The sequence below is a fragment of the Homo sapiens genome, chromosome 5, assembly GCF_000001405.40.
Source record: "Homo sapiens chromosome 5, GRCh38.p14 Primary Assembly".
Taxonomy (NCBI): Eukaryota; Metazoa; Chordata; class Mammalia; order Primates; family Hominidae; genus Homo; species Homo sapiens.
The window spans coordinates 14607817-14625333 of record NC_000005.10 but is presented as its reverse complement, the minus strand read 5'-3'; the positions used below and the strand labels follow the sequence as shown (position 1 = coordinate 14625333).

At 40.3% G+C, this 17517-nt stretch overlaps 1 protein-coding gene and 1 pseudogene across 5 annotated transcripts in view; both read right to left on the bottom strand.

Annotated features, from left to right (window-relative positions):
- Positions 4091-5294, bottom strand: LOC100422687 (pleckstrin homology domain containing A1 pseudogene; annotated as a pseudogene).
- OTULINL (OTU deubiquitinase with linear linkage specificity like) overlaps positions 9154-17517 on the bottom strand; it is a 34389-nt gene continuing 26025 nt past the window's right edge. For 4 of the 5 annotated variants that reach the window (XM_047417322.1, XM_047417323.1, NM_019018.3 and 1 more), the window contains 2 exons: positions 16317-16586; positions 9154-15193 (listed from right to left, as the gene is read on the bottom strand). In XM_047417322.1, coding sequence (XP_047273278.1) covers positions 15020-15193; positions 16317-16586 — 444 coding nt within the window. In that variant the 3' untranslated portion in view covers positions 9154-15019. The remainder of the gene's footprint in view (positions 15194-16316; positions 16587-17517) is intronic. The other variant, XR_925623.3, reaches the window with a different exon arrangement.

Below are 17517 nucleotides of genomic sequence, written 5' to 3'. Positions count from 1 at the left end.
TTACAGGTAGCAGCCCTCCTGCTACTGAAACCCTAAGGGGTCCTGAGCACCTCCCAGTAGGTCCTGGCCTATCTACAGAATGAACATGTGATGAGTCCAGTGCCGTCTTCCAGAGCTTTGACATCTGAGCCATTGTAAATTTGGAAGACTGGAATTCATTCATGCCAGTGGCAGCAACCTGCCCAGAATTCTCCAGCAATAGGCCATTCCTGGAGTTGCTGCTTCCCTGCTGGAGTTGCCTGAATTCATCTTCCCAATAATTTTTTTTTTTTCAGTCAGTCAAAGTCAGTTCCTGCTGCTTACAACCAAAGAGCCCTGACCAATTCATTTCTCACTTCCAGTGGAGTATCTCGCCATGTTTAATGACCACTTATAGGAGCCAGTGTTGTGTGCCAATAGCAGCTAAAATGCTAAAGCATTTTTAACAGGCCAGAAACACTCTCTTAGGAGAATTATTACACAAAGAGTCTCTGCCTTCTCTCCAGAAAACTAAGAGATTCAAAGAACACTATAAAACACTACATAAAAGGAATTTGGGTCATAATTTTCTGTATCTTCAAACCTCATATTTTTAGTTTTAATTTTAATAAAATATTATTGAAACTATTCTGAAGTTCTAGAATATAAGACTAAAATTAGCCACAACCCCATCCTAAGTCAATTCAATGTTTTCACATGTTCATGTCAAGTTCTACTCCTGGTCTATGTTCTGAACTCATTTTTAGTATTAGCCATATTGTCACAGAGATATTATAGTTAACACTTTTGGGTAACATTTTCTCATGCATGTTTCCATTTTGCCAGTCTCCTTTATTTTTTCCTTCCCCTCCCTATCCCACCACCCATAGATAATGCTAGCAGTCCAATGTTTCTCCTTCTACACTTTCTCCATTCTCAAGCTATTGTGTATGTATATATGTACATATGTATATATATGTACACACATACATATATACAGAGATATATAGGTATGCTTAAGTTTTAGTTGTTGCTTTCTAAACATTGAATCAAAATGGAATCATACTCTATACATAACTGCATATTGCTTTTTTCACTTCATAATACATTATAAAATTCTCGCCGGTCAGCTGGATCAAATTCATTCATTTTAATTTGAGGATTTATATAATTTACACTTAACGATATGGTTGAGATTAGATCCACCATCTTGCTATTTGTTCTCTATTCACCTCATCTGTTCTTTGTTCATTTCTTCCCTTATTTCCTGCTATTCGTTAGCTATACGTCTACATTTTAGTTTTCAGTGGTTGTGCCAATGTTTATAATACATATCCCTAACTTACCAAGCCTACTTTAAATAATAATATTTAAATGTTATAATTTTATAACAGTAGACTTCCATTTTTCCCTATTCATCTTTTTTTTTTTTTTTTTTTTTAGATGAAGTCTCACTCCATTGCCAGGCTGGAGTGCAGTGGCGCGATCTCAGCTCTCGGCTCACTGCAACCTCCACCTCCCAAGTTCAACCGATTCTCCTGCTTCAGCCTCCCAAGTAGCTGGGACTACAGGCACGTACCACCATGCCCAGCTAATTTTTGTATTTTTAATACAGACAGGGTTTCACCATGTTGGCCAGGATGGTCTCTATCTCTTGATCTCATGATCCGCCCACCTCAGCCTCCCAAAGTGCTGGGATTACAGGCATGAGCTACCACGCTTGGCCTCATCTTTTGTGCTATTGTTATCCCACACTTTATTTCAGCATAAGTAATGAACCCCATTATGCATTTGTTAATTTTGCTTTATATAGTCAATTACTTTTTTATTTTTTGAGATGGAGTCTTGCTCTGTCACCCAGGCTGGAGTGCAATGGCATGATCTTGGCTCACTGCAACCTCCGCCTCCCGGGTTCAAGCCATTCTCCTGCCTCAGCCTCCCGAGCAGCTGGGATTACAGGCATGCGCCATCACACCCGGCTACTTTTTGTATTTTTGGTAGAGACAGGGTTTCAGCATGTTGGCCAGGCTGGTCTTGAACTCCTGACCTCAGGTGATCTGCCCGCCTCAGCCTCCCAAAGTGCTGGGGTTACAGGCATGAGCCACCAAACCTAGCCAGTCAATTACTTTTAAAATACATTTTTAAATAAGAATGAAATACATTTATACTTAGCATTCCTTATGCTCTCCATCCCTTTGCATAGATCTAAGTTTCCATCTGGTTTTATTTTTCTTCTGCCTAAAGAACTTTCCTTAATATTACATATAGTGCAGATCTGGTGGTAACAAAGTCTCTCAGCTTTTGTCTTTAAAAGTCTTTTTTTAAATTTATTTATTATTATTATTTTGAGACGGAGTTCCACTCTGTTGCCCAAACTGGAGTGCAGTGGTGTGATCTCGGCTTACTGCAACCTCCACCTCCTGGGTTCAAGTGATTCTCCTGCCTCAGCCTTCTGAGTAGCTGCGAGTACAGCCATGCACCACCAGGCCTGGCCAATTCTTGTATTTTTAGTAGAGATGGGGTTTGGTCATGTTGGCCGCTGGTCTCAAACTCATGACCTCCGGTGATCTGCCCACCTCGGACTCCCAAAGTGCTAGGATTACAAGCATGAGCCACCGCGCCCAGCCTAAAAGCCTTTATTTTATCTTAAGGTGAAATTTTATTTTAATAGATGGGGTCTCACTATGTTGTCCAGGCTGAAATGCAATGGCTATTCACAGGCACAATCATAGCACACTATAACCCTGAACTTCTAGACATAAGTGATCCTCCTGCTTCAGCCACCACCATGCCCAGCCTAGGGTAAAAATTTTAAAGGATGTTTTGCTAGATGTGGAATTCTACATTGACCCCAAAAAATGTTTTATTCAGTAAAGGTGTCATACCATTATCTTCTGATTTGCATCATTTCTAAAAAGAAATCTGTCTCATTCTTATCTTTGTTCTTCTGTATCTCATATGCTTTTTCTCCTCTGGCTGATTTTAAGATTTATCACTGTTTCTCAGCAATTTGGGTATGATGTGGTTCAATGTGATGTTTTTGTGTTTATCCTACTTGAGTTTTATGAAAGTTCTTGAATCTGTGTGTTCATCATAGTTTTTATCAAATTTGAATTTTTTTCAGCCATTATTTCTTCAATGTTTTTGTGTTTTGTTTTTGTTTTTGAGACAGGATCTCACCCTGTCATGTAGGCTGGAGTGCAGTGATGCAATCACAGCTCGCTGCAGCCTCAAACTCCAGGGCTCAAGTATTCCTCCTGCCTCAGCCTCCCGAGTAGCTGGGACTACAGGCATATGCCATCATGCTCAGCTATTTTTTTTTTTCAATAGAGATGAGGTCCCGGTATGTTACCCAGGCTAGTCTCAAACTCCTGAGCTCAAGGTATACTGCCACCTCAGCCTCCCAAAGTGTTCGGATTACAGGCATGAGCCATGGCACCCGGCCTCCTTCCTGCCCCCGACCCCCCAGCCAAACAAACACTTTACTGGGACTGCAATTACATGAATAATTACCCCCAAGTAACTGAGGCCCCATTTTTTTCCATTGCTTTTCTGTTTCACTTTGAATAGTTTCTATTGCTACAACTTCAAGTTCATTGATCTTTTGTTTTTCCATAAAGAAGATGCAGTTAATCCCATCCAATGTATTTTTCATTTCAGATATTGTATTTTTCACCTCTAGAATTTCCATTTGGTTTTTAAATATCTTCACTATCTCTCCTGATTATATTTTAACGATATTTAAACACATCGAGCATATATGTAATAGCCATTTCAAAGTCCTTGCCTACTAATTCCATTGTCTGCCATTGTTGGGTCTTTTCCTATTGACGGTTTTTTTGTTTTTTTTTTTTACTCTAGGTTATGGGTCACATTTTCCTGCTTCTTGGCATGTCTAGTAATTTTTTATTGGCTGGTGGACATTGAGTTAAGTATCTGAACTTTGCCATGTTCCCTTAAAGAATGGCTTCGTTAGAAGACAGTTAAGTTACTGGAAAATCAGATTTGTTTGATCCTTTCATGGCTTCTTTTTAAACGTGTTTAGGGTAGGTTTGAAGTAGCCTCTATTCTGGGATAGTTTAGCTCTACTACTAAGGCATGGGATGACCCTTCTGGTTCTCTTGAAAAGTCACTTTGGAAGCCAATTCTCTTGAAAGGATAATATGGAAGTTCCCTGGCTCGCTCTTGACAAAATACTCATAAAAGTCTACCTCCACTATAATAAAGCTCAAAACAAAGAGTTGTTGTAAAGGACTGTGGAATATAAGATTGGCTGCAGTTACATAGAATGAACGAAAGTGTGATGAGATGAATGCTGAGAAATGTTTAGGATGCTCCTGTAAAGTAGCTATCAGAGGGTCACTCATTAATCACAAAGTTTGTATTTTAGTATGATACTTAATTCTCTCTATATACAAATATTTAACAGCCTTTTAGTCTGCCACATAGATGATGATGATCTTCCTGGTCCCTGTTGGGATACAGTGATACCAAAGATCAGATTAATCTAACTATTTACCTCCGTAGGACCATCAGCCTACACAGAGGAACTGTGGGAAACAATGAACAGTTTGTTAGAATTTTTAAGAGGTTGTCCCTCATCATTATGTGTCTTTGCTTACATTCTGGGACTTTATAAACCTCTTTAAGTGCATTATGTGGAGAGGTCCCTTTCCAGTTCATATTTGAAAATGCCTACTTTGTTTCATCCATCTGAAAATGTCTGGTTACAGTTTTTCATCACTGCCCCTTGTTTAACACAATAACTGACTTTGAAAGTCCAATTATCTACAGATAGTTTAGGAGTAAGGTAAGGAAATGGCTTTGGAACCATTTGAAATTACTTCACCATATTTATTTACTTCCTTTTTCCTGAGCTAGAGTAACTATGGGTACAGCACCAACAGTATCTGTCCTATAAGGTACTTGCTCCTTCCCACAGTTATTTAATGTGGAGACTGAGGTTATTAGAATGAAACTGCAAGTCCGTCTGCTTTTGATACTGTCTTTCCATAGCATTGTTCAACATTACTCGTTCCACTAGGTATTGCTGATCATTAGCTTGTAAGAAATATTTTCTCTTTTCTGAATTTATTTTTAAAACAAAGTAAAACAAAAAAACTAGAACTCTCCCCTTGGCTTGGTTTAGTGCCATTGTTAACCTTTGGAATGTAGATAAATTTAATGTCTCCAACACACATTGATCCAGAAATATATTTTGTAGCATTATCCATTTATAATACCAAACTACCTTTTCTGATATTCACTATGAAGCCCTACTAAGATTTCTTGTTTTTATTTACTTCAATGTCTAGAAAGCCACAAATGCAACTCTGACTAGTAAGAACAGCCACCAGGTTTACCTTTTTAAGGGTCTGGGCACTCTGTTCTGTTCCCTGGCCCCAGGATGTACCTTAACAAATATAATATCCTGTAGAAGTCATAATAGGATTGGGGGGAAATATTTCATTACAGTAAACATAAAACTAGCCGTGATAGAGCTGCTGGGAATTCTGTGCATGTAGCTTCAGACCATGAGATTTGACCTTCGTGCTTATGCTTAAGAGCAGAGGAGCTAATTTCTCACTGCCGGTAAGAATTTACTACTCATGGCACAAAGAGAACAACAAATTAAGGAAGTCATCATGGAACTCAAAGGAAGCTAACAATGACAGATCCAGCATCTGCACCATTAAGTTCAGGTACTGGAGCCAGAATGCTTTGCAAACAGAGCTAACCAGCTGCCGCTAAAAGTGGGGCTGAAAATGTACCTAGTTTCAGGTTTAGAGGACAAAAGGAACTGTAAACCATTTCCATCAAAATACTGGAGTAATGCTCACAGAGCTTTTTTTTCTGAATTTTAAAAACAGCACAGGAACGAGTATGTTTTCAGCTATTTAAACAAACCAAAAACAACAAACCTGCCCATGAAGGGAATTATTCTGGGTATCTGTAACTTTTTGTTCTATCTTCTACTACTTCATACGAGCAACCTGGCATGACTGCTACCCTAAGATTTGTGTCACCAAGCAGTTGTCTTTGTTCCTCTCAAATGAACTGATTAAGATTTTTATGAATGAGGATTCTAGTTGGATAACTGCCAATTTTAGTTATGCACTGATCTGAACAGGCTTCATCTGCCATCATGAAAGGGGAAAGGTGAGAAGCCTAACATGTATTAGATATGGTTTCAGATGTGGTCCTGCTCGGGCATTTTCCAGAAACTGTGGTTCTGCTCTGGGGGCTCCCTTTCCCCACACTGTGGCTACAGACGATTGTCTAGAGATGGGCAGGTAGTGCAAGGGCCATAGTGCCATAGAATCTTAGCCAATCAGATTTTGCTTCTCAGGAATCTGAACTAGTGAACTAAGGTGCAGTTCTGCTCAGTAGTAGGAGCAACTTCACATTCCAGGGATGAGGAGTGGGGACAGAGGTAGAGAAAGACAGAGAAAGACAAAGAAACACAAAGTGAGGAGGAAGAAGAGATAAATGTACAGCATAAGGCATAGCAATCTTGAGATGTGAGACCTCATGGATCAGCAGAAATGCAGCTGGTAACCTTAACTCTTGACTTTACAGGTTTCAGGCAACTTCCAGTGAGGACTGGCTATACTTCCTGCCCTGGCGGTGTGTGGGATTCTCCCTATCCAACTCACTTAAGAAGTTTTCTACCCTCACAACCTAAAGTGCTTCAACAGAACCCAAAGAATATTAGAAGTTATTTCTTGCTTTTTTTTTAGACGGAGTCTCACTCTGTTGCCCAGGCTGGAGTGCAGTGGTGCAATCTCAGCTCACTGCAACCTCTGCCTCCTGGGTTCAAGCAATTCTCTTGCCTCAGCCTCCTGAGTAGCTGGGACTACAGGAATGCACTAGCTAAATTTCTTGCATTTCTAACAAGATAGACTTAGGCTTAGGCAATATTTCCTACTAATTATATGTGTATGTGTGTGTGTGTGTGTGTGTGTGTATATATATATATATATATATATATATATATATTTTTTTTTTTTTTTTTTTTTTTTTTTGAGATGGAGTTTTGTTCTTGTAACCCAGGCTGGAGTGCAGTGGCGCGATCTTGGCTCACTGCAACCTCTGCCTCCCAGGATCAAGTGATTCTCCTGCCTCAGCCTTCCAAGTAGCTGGGATTACAGGCACTCGCCATGCACCACGCCTGGCTAATTTTTGTATTTTTAGTAGAGACATAGTTTCACCATGTTGGCCAGGCTTGTCTCGATCTCCTGACCTCAGGTGATCCAGCCACCTCGGCCTCCCAGAGTGTTGGGATTACAGGCGTGAGCCACCATGTCCAGACTAATTACATTAATAAAACAAACTTAAGCTCATAAACATTTGTCATTCACAATAAAAATACACACAGAATTGGAATTCATGAATTTGCTCAAAGCTCTTCTTAGTGCAGACATTTAACCTGGGCCTCCTCTTCAGCCACACCATACTTGAGGCCTGCAAATGCCAAGCAAGCTGTTTGTCTTTTAGAGAGTGTCAAAACTGTTAGGAAACCAACAACCTGGATATGTCCAGGTTAATACAGAGTTTGGTGGAGAAGAGACCATCCAATGCCTCCTGCTGTTTAAGAACTCCCTCCAATCCCACTTGGCATCAAAAGAAAGTTTCCTCTCTGTTAGTGGTATGCCCCTAGGCCCTCAATTTTTTCTGGTTTCAGTTGTGCATGTTGGCCGCGTGCCTGTGTTTCCAATATGATAATTATTTGAATGGACTTGAGTGTCCCTGCCATGGCTCTGCTAATCCAGGCCACCCATGTCTCTGCTCTTGCTTCCTATTTGCCACACCAGCTCAACTGTACATTGCGCCTCCAACCTGGAATCTGCATGGAGGCTCCACTGAGCCCAGAAAGGGCAGCTGGCAGGTCAGGGTGAGGCCTCTTCCACAGGCAGTGGAACACGGTGTGTGCATTCCCAGGACATCTTTTTTTTTTTTTTTTTTTTTCTTCAATTGAGACGGAGTCTCACTCTGTTGGCAGGCTGGAGTGCAGTGGCGTAATCGCAGCTCACTGCAACCTTCGCCTCTGGGGTCAAGCAATTCTTCTGCCTCAGCCTCCCAAGTAGCTGTGATTACAAGCACCTGCCACCATGCCCGGCTAATTTTCTGTATTTTTAGTAGAGATGAGGTTTCACCATGTTGGCCAGGCTGGTTTCAAACACCTCACCTCAAGTGATCTGCCCGCCTCGGCCTCCCAGTGTGCTGGGATTACAAGTGTGAGCCACCACACCCAGGCCCCAGGACATCTCAAGGTTCTCCATTCTTAGGATCTGTGATCCCACTAAATAACATTCTTTCACAGGCATATCAGTCCAACAACCTGTTTCTAGGTGAACTTGATGGCCCTGGTTAATTTCAACCTCACTAGGGATACATTGTTAGCAAAACTTGGTTTGACTCGTGTCCATTCTATAGGCCACCCTGACTTGATGAATATGTCAGCATATGCTTCTGTCCCCTGACTACATCTAAAAATTCCTGGATCAATAAAAAGAAATTTCCAGGGAACATAATCACAGTTAGATTCTTTGCCTCTTTGAGAAATAACAGCTGAGCTTGGCTCTCATCATCAACTTGCAATTTGGAATTCCTCTGACATTTATACGAGCAATGTTCTGGTCATAATGATATGATACCCACATCCGTTCCCACAAGGAACTTGAAATCCAGTAAAGAAATAAAATGTGATGCTTTTTCTGAAGCACAAAGAAATGTGAACTCAGGTAGGTTCTTGCCGATTTTTTCTGAGGGACTGGAGTAATCCATGAATGTCTTCTCAAAACAGTATCCTCTTCCTGCAATGTGCACCTCGGCAGTGGGACTATCTGGCTGATCCAGGGACCTCCTGCCAATACAGCCCTTTATGAAAATCAGGAAAAGGCATCCCCACTGGCGCAGGGCTTGGCCAGTAGGCTGAGCCTTATTGGTAGAAAAAGACAATCCTTCCCTTGGGGCAGTTGATACCTCAAGCCCTCCATGGCTTGGAGAGAAGATCTCAGCTTCATTCACCTCTCCTCAGTCGAGGACCACTAAGCAAGATGCGTGTGCAGAAGCCCATATGGTGGCCCTAGTTCCAACAATAATAGCGAAAACCCAAAATCACTGCCCTCCTGCTCTAGGCAAAATCTCAGCCACCAAATAACAGAATCTGTTGAATCTTGCCTGAAACTCGTATTTTAGTGCTACTAAAGTGTAGAAGTCTTTATTACCACACTGCAAGATTAAGTACAGAAACTGAAAGTGTTTAGAAACTTTTATAACAATCTAATCTTGGTGCTATATTTTTATCGTATTTATAAAACTACCAACCTGCAAAGGATTAGAATTTTTAAAACTCATCCTTTACCATGGATAGTTTAAAAAGCACTGTTTTACAATGATGTTTCAAAAGGAAAAAGCTACTTTATTACCTGCTTTAAAAAGAGGATCTGTGGTGTGTCCTTCTGTATAGTACAAAGAAGAGCATGTCGTTTCAATTTGCTTGTAAAGACATACAGGAGGAATGGTCTCAACTGCAACTACTAATCTAACTGGTCTCACAAGCAGATTGGAGCACTTCATTGTTACCCTGTGAAATACACACCAAATGGAAAAATTAATTTTACTTACTTAACCATTTGCTGACAGATGAGTTAACCAATAGATCAAATATACTCTGGGGCTGAGTCTTCCTTTTAATGTTTATCTACGGCTAAAGGTAGCTTTTCATAACAGATGTAAATATTTGTTCTACTTACCCACAATGATACCAAGATGTTACAACAAACACCATTTTCACCAGGCGTCCCCTCATCTCTGGCCCTTTTTATTTAAGGGAGTCACAGATGTGCCTACTAGGAATCACATTACACTGAAACTTCCACCACACCCAAGCAGCTTTTCTGGTCCTCTCCTTCGTCATCAGTCTGTACCAGCTGCTTCTCCTCACCTTGCCCTGGGGTTCTTTCCATGAATCTTAGTCCAGCAGAAAAGCCGGCACCCAAAGGAAGTCCAGGTACATGCTGGGAGGCGGACGAAGCCATGACCTGGCATGGACTTGAAGCAGTTCCCAAGTTGTTTCCCAGAGTCTGTCTTTGGGGATGGCAGCGATGACAAGAAATGGGCCAGGAGTGTCTCAGCCATTTGTGTTTGGCCCAGTAAGTTTGCTGACAAATGATAAGGCACAATGGGGTAAAGTCACAAACCATCCTTAAAGCATTCCAGTGTCACTGATTGGTGCCTCATGCACCTTTTCAAACTTGTGAACAAGCAAAACAAAATCATGATTGCTGACACCTTGATGTTTCTGTTTTAAATTTATACTCGTGTGGAAATGGGTTTTACAGCCCATCTAGACTACGATGAAAATACTTAAAACATGTACTTCTTTATTCAAGGATATTCTCTTGACTAAACTTCCCAAGAATCATTACAAATAAGTGAGTGACTCTCACTGGTCTGGTGGCAGCAAAATGACTTAACAATCTAAGACCTGATGGTACTGACTATAAGGACCAATACGTCAATTACATACAGAAATTTGATTTTTTTAAACAGAACGAGACACCAGCTAGGATTATAACTTTAGCATTCTATAGCAGTCTGCTCACACAGCCCTCCTCCATGCTGGCTCTTGGGCCACACTGTTCCCACATGGAGCTTGAGTCTCCTCCAACACATTCCATGAGCTTCAAGTGCAGAGACATGGTGTACACTTCGGGCTGTTCTACAGAGCACTCCAGACCATACGTGGCTGAATACGTGAGTGAGTGTTTTTCTGTCCACTTATAAACCATGTTGATATTAAGCATAAATATAATCCAAATCAGCTTTCCTTTTCTTGGCCTAAAGGAATATGATGGGATTAAAACAGAAGTGAATTAAGCAAAGATCCACTATTCTGAACAAATAACATAGAAGTGATTGAACAATTTGGACCCACTAAATTTTGTGTCTAGCTGTAAAATGGACATTGTGATAAAAACAGGATTTGAAGGAAAATGAATAGCTAATTTGTCAATTAAATAATTAAAACTTTAAAAAAGTGAATGGCTATAGAGAAAAGTATACCCATATATAGTCAATAAGTTAATTAAATAATGTTCAACTATGACAAGCAACCCTATAGACAGTTAAAGTTTCAGATGCATGAAAAGACATATGATATATATATACTTTTTTCTGTTTTACACATTAACTGGTCTTATTAAGCAGTGTGAAAAACATTCTTGCAAAGAGAATCATACAGCTTTAGAAATTTGCTATTTAAGAGAAAATTATTGCTAATTCTGGAATTAGTCAACCCTTTATTCATGCTTGCATATATTTTCACATATTGGGTTAGTTATCAGTTTAAAACAGTTACGTACTTTGATGTGGAATTCCAACATTTCCAGAGCATTCAAAAAAGTCAGCTTGGACACAATTAAAATTGTCTTTCTTTGGTCTCACTAAAATAGGAGAAACTCATCTGACTGAGAACAAATATTTCCATCCAATACCCATTTGCAGAAAAGTCCTGGGAAAATTAACGTTAATGCCCCCTGATCCTGGCTGCTCTTCTCTCATGGAGGTTGAGCCCATCCTCCACCAGCTTAGTCTGGAGGTCTCCGGTCCCCTAGAGAGGGCCCTGGGGACTTTCACCTGACTCTCCCTTGGGTGGAAATGACTTTGGTTCAAGACCATGAAGACATTCAAGAAATTCAACTCACCAGGGTGGCTCTGAATTAATAGTTTCTTGGGGACTTTTCAATGATAATATTCTAAATTGAGCCCAGAAGCCACCCATAGTTATCATTTTACTTTGGAGATAAAACACGATTTTCCTGATCCATTTAACTCCCTCTTAGGTTGTACTAACTAACCTAACTCTCTCCTCCTGACTCCCTCCTAGGTTGTACCTAACTCCCTCTTAGGTTGTACTTCTCCACTGAGGCTCTTTTAAGCCCAGAGGAAATACTCAGATTAGAAGAGGTATGATGAAAAGATAGCATGAAAAGGAAAAGGAATCCAGATACCAGGTAGGGAATTAAAGTTGCCTGCTTTGAAAAAAAGTCAGTCTTGGAGATTTTAAAAAGTTCTGAGGGTGGATGGTGGTGAGGGTTGCACAACAATGTGAATATGCTTAATGTCACTGTCACTTAAAAATTGTTAGGGCCGGGCGCAGTGGCTCACACCCGTAATCCCAGCACTTTGGGATGCCGAGGTAGGCGGATCGCCCAAGGTCAGGAGTTCAGATCAGCCTGGCTAAATGGTGAAACCCCGTTTCTACTAAAAACACAAAAAATTAGTCGAGCGTAGTGGTGGGCACCTGTAATCCCGGCTACTCGGGAGGCTGAGGCAGGAGAATCGCTTGAACCTGGGAGGTAGAGGTTGCAGTGAGCCGAGATTGTGCCACTGCACTGCAGCCTGAGCAAAAAGAGTGAAACTCCGTCTCAAAAAAAAAAATTGTTAAAATATAAACTATATGTTATGTGTATTTTACCACAGTAAAAGTCAGCCTTGTACTAATATGCATACAACCCCTCAGTATGGACACGTAAGGCCAAAATTTGAGAGAGAAACTTATCCTAAAATCAAAAAACGACGAGGGCATTATGTTTCCATTTTTGCTATAGTTCTCTCACCATTTAAAACATATACGGTTAGAAAGACATTTAAATGTTGGCATCACCCAGGAAGCTCACCTCAAATTTATTGTTGACATTTAAAAGTGGTGCTAATTTACATGCAGCTCCTTCTGGCTACTTAATTTGTTATATTCATTATACAACTGAATAAAAACAAACAAAACAACACAACACCTCATACCTCCTCCCTAAAAACCTGTTTTGACATCTTCCCAAAATATAGCAACTATCTAAATGTCTTCTTACTTTTTACTTTCACTGGATTGAAATCTTTCTCGCAACTTGGTTCTCTAAAGAATTCTTGCCCCCCGCCCACAACACAACATGATGGGTTGACTGAGGTCACAGAGCTACAGGCTGCCAATCCTGGTGAAAAAATTTTTCCTTTCAGTCCTGGATTGATGTGGAAATAATTACACTAGTAAGGAGATCCAAGGTGAGTGGTAATACACAAATGTCAGGTACACTTCTGGACAGCTCAAGTGGAGCCAAAATTTTGGAGCAACAATTCTATAAGTATCAGCCACAGCAGCCCATGGCAGGCTGTCACCAGAAAGGGTAACGTTCATGCTTTCTTGGTTACAGTAACACATCAGGGGGATATCTTCTAACACTGTCAGTTAAATGACAGGGGTTATACAAAACCATAGATGTTTCCAAACAGGCAGGGACTGTAGAGGTCAATGAAGAACTCTTGTTTCTGTGGCTGAGCTCATTAATCTTCAACCAGAAAACAAAATGACAGTGGGAACAAGCTACCATCAGACATGGTTCATGTAGTACACACGACTGATCATCCCCATTGCAAAAGAATATGAATGCTAATTTCAGACATGACAGCATTTGACACACTCCCTTTTAATTTATTGCAGAAATAATATGAACATCTGGGAAAATGATAGTGCTAAATATCTCGTGAAGTAAGTCATTCTTAGAAAGGGATTTGTGACTTTGAAGTAATATATAATTAGCAAGATTTTAAAAATTATTCTTATGTACTGAAACTCAAAACAGACTAGCAAAGTACCTCCAAAAAAAAAACTATCAAATTAAACTAGAAAAGTATTTCCAAAATAAAGACGACCAAAAACTAGCCTGAGAATACTAGTTTTCTGTTGCTACAACACATTACCACAAACTTAGTGGCTTAAACACAAATCTATTATCTTACAGTTCTGCAGATTAGAGGTCCAACACAGGCTTCACTGGGCTAAAATCAAGGTGTTGGCAGGGCTGCGTTCCTTCTGGAGGCTATGGGGAAGTTTCTGTTTCCTTTCCAGTCTCAATTCTACAGGCTGCCTGCAACTCCCTGGCTTATGGCCCCTTCCTCCATCTTCAAAGCCAGCAATGGTGCATCTCTCTCTAACCGTTCTTCCATATTTCACATTCCCCTCTGACTCTGACACTCTTCCAATTCCCTCTTCCACTTTTAAGAACCATTCTGATTACACTGCGTCCACCTGGAGAATCTAGAAAAATCTCCCTATTTCAGCATCATTGGATTAGCATCTCAGTTCCACCTGCAACCTTAATTCTCCTTTCCCATTTAACCCATTTAGCCCTTTACGGCTCTGAGGATTCAGACACAGACATCTTTGGGGAGCATAGGGCATTATTCTGCCTACCATAATGAGATTCCACACATTAAATACACATTAAATGTACCACAGTTTAATAGTTTTGTGATAGTTCAATAACTGTCATTTGCTTTAATCTACAGAATTTTAAAAAATCTAAATAAAACTATTAAGCTGGCCAGATAAAATAGTAACAAAAAAAGTAAAGAGATATAAAACAAACTGTACACTATTACAAAGTAGTGGTTCTCTGTATGTCTATGTGTATATATGTATATATAAAACTATACAGATACATGTGTGTATATAAACATACATATGTATATATACACACATATACTTAATTTTAAAGTTAATCAAATGGTTATCAAAAATTAATATACAACAAAGATTCCTGGGAAGGTAATGCTTATATAAAATAAGGCCATGTTTCTAAAAATCCCTCAAATCAGTCCAAGATAAGATTTTTAATGAAGAACATAAAGGTTAAAGAAATTCTTTCTCTCCAGGTTAGCTGTTTTTCCCTACTTGTTTTCTTCTTGCTTTTTCCTGTTGTTGTCCATATTAAACTTCTTTGTGCTCTTAAAGGCCCGCCATCATGTGAAGTGGCCACGCCCCTTATGGACAAAGTCAAGCCACCAACTCCCAAATGTATCAGTGCAGCTGCTTCAGAGGAAATCACTGAAAAATAAAGAAAAACCATCCATGCATGGCTGCATCCAGTGTACCTGTAATCCTGAAGAAAAGGTCCTAATTCCTTCCATGCTGAAATGCTAGCTTTGGTTTCAGAGAGAGACTTTATTGCAACTGTGACCACCGTCACTGGTGAGCACTGCTGTTCGGCCCCCAGCGGACTTAAAAGACTGGAATGTGGTAGTGGCGGTCGTTCTCGGTCAGCAGGGAGATCTCCGGCCAGTCCCTGAGAGGCTCCTCTGGGTAGCAGACTTCAAAGTCTCTGGAGTTAAACTTGAACAGTCTGAACACTTTTATCTTTACTTCAAGGGAGTATCCAAGTATAAACATATCAATCTGTGGATGAGATGAAAGACAGGTCACAGATACACACTTGCAAATTCCTGCCTCCCGCCACGGTGGGGGGAAGTGTTCCTCTGCAGTTTATGAAATAATCTGCTTGTTGACAGACCCACCCATACACCACTGAGTGGGCACAGAGTTCAGAACAAATGCTCATTGTGTGGAAGGAAGGGGACGAGCATAGGAACAACTCTGTAGACTAGCATGTAAAAATCACGGCCAGGCGCGGTGGCTCACGCCTGTAATCCCAGCACTTTGGGAGGCCGAGGCGGGCGGATCACGAGGTCAGGAGATCGAAAACACGGTGAAACCCCGTCTCTACTAAAAATACAAAAAATTAGCCGGGCGCAGTGGCGGGCGCCTGTAGTCCCAGCTACTCGGGAGGCTGAGGCAGGAGAATGGCGTGAACCCGGAAGGCGGAGCTTGCAGTGAGCGGAGATCGCGCCACAGCACTCCCGCCTGGGCGACAGAACGAGACTCCGTCTCAAAAAAAAAAAAAAAAAAAAAAAAAAATCACAGGAAAAAGCTACTTGAAAAAAATTAGTGAAAAAATAAAAGAACACTCATGATAAAAACTACATTATTTTCCAATCAGTTTTATATCATTCAATCAGTTTTATATCATTTTATATCCATTTGTTTAAAAATGTCAGATAATTTTGTTCGCCCTCTAGGAAAGCAAAACAAAAAAGAAACTCTTTTCTAGAGGGATAAAAGCATTTTCATTTTCTGGCTTTAGAAAGTTTCAATTAATTTCTATTTATCTGCAATAGGTAACCAAACGCTTTCCCAAAATTATCTCATTTTCCACCTGGACTTTTTCCTGGTGAACGTCTATGTGAGAGAACCTGTTGGCATCTGGGAAGCAGCGTGAGAGGTCAGAAAGGCCCCGAGAATTGGTGCTCTCTGGCTAGAGGTCTGAGGAGACACAAAGCAGCCAGCACAGAATAATGCATTTATTAGTCTTCTTTTCCTCATTTGAGGGGCGATAATATCAATCAACCACCTCTGTGCAATCGCTTATGTCACCACTGAAAAGTCACCCCAGACACCTCTGTGTTCAAATAGTGCCACAGCATCCTTAATCAAATACAAGCAGTTCTTCCTCCCCGGTTACCTGCTCTAGTCCACATGTGTCGCCTACAGAATTCAGGTGATTCATCATGAAGCTCAAAGGATCAGAGGATGTCTCCCTGGAAAACAGGAGTCTAAAAAGACTGGGAATGACCTTTTTAGTCTTCATTTGTTCATAAACTTCAGTGACTTGATACAGCATGATGAACTTTAAAGCTTCATAAAGTTTATATTCCAGAATGGCATCTGAAAAAAGGGTGTTGCACATACTTCCTCTCTTGTGATAATCTCTAATGCCATTAAATTCAGTCCACTAAAAACAGATGTAAAAGTGAAATTCAGAAGGATAAAGGTGAAGACATATACCATTCCATAACTTTTAATGTATTTATAAAATAAACCAAAGATTAATAGAAAAAAGTGGAACTTTAACTCTTCACTTTCTATCTTTCGGCACTGTTTGATTTTTTTTAACCATAAAAGTATACTGCAGTGGACTGAACATGTCTCCCTCAACTTCCTATGTTGAAACCCTAATCCCAGGGTGATGGTATTAGAGGGTGTGTCCTTTGGGACGTGATTAGGTCCTGACGGTGGAGCCCTCATGAATGGACCTGCTACTCTTATAAGAAGAGGCCAAAGAGCTAGCTAGTTCTCCTTCCACTATGTGAAGACACACCAAGAAGACAGCTGTCTATAAAACAGGAAGAGGGCTCTCACCAAAAACCCCACTGTGCTGGCACCCTGATCTCTGACTTCCAATCTCCAGAACTGTGAAAAATCAATCTTTATGGGTTAAGCCACCCAATTTATGGTATTTTGTTATAGAAGCCTAAGCTGACCATAAAATGTTTACAATAAGAAATTAGTTTAGATAAAATATTTTTTTCAAAAAGTATCACCTACTAGTTAAATACAAAGCAAGTCAGTTTTCCAAAACTGCTTAGGATGGATGGGTTACACAAAGGATATTCCACAGAATAGTGCTAGTGTGCTTTAACATTCACTGTGTATTCTGCACAGTTTAAAGCTCTCTGTGTATTACGTCATTGAATCCTCACAATAATGGTACAGGATATACACTATTGATGTTTCTCTTTAATACATAAGAAAACTATGGACCAGAAAGGTTATTTCCCAAGGTAACCAAGCTAGTGGTAGGCTCAGGATTCATTTCAATCATCCAAAATCTGTGTCATTATTGAAAGACAGGAAGAAGTCTTAGTCAAATTATTACATCTGTG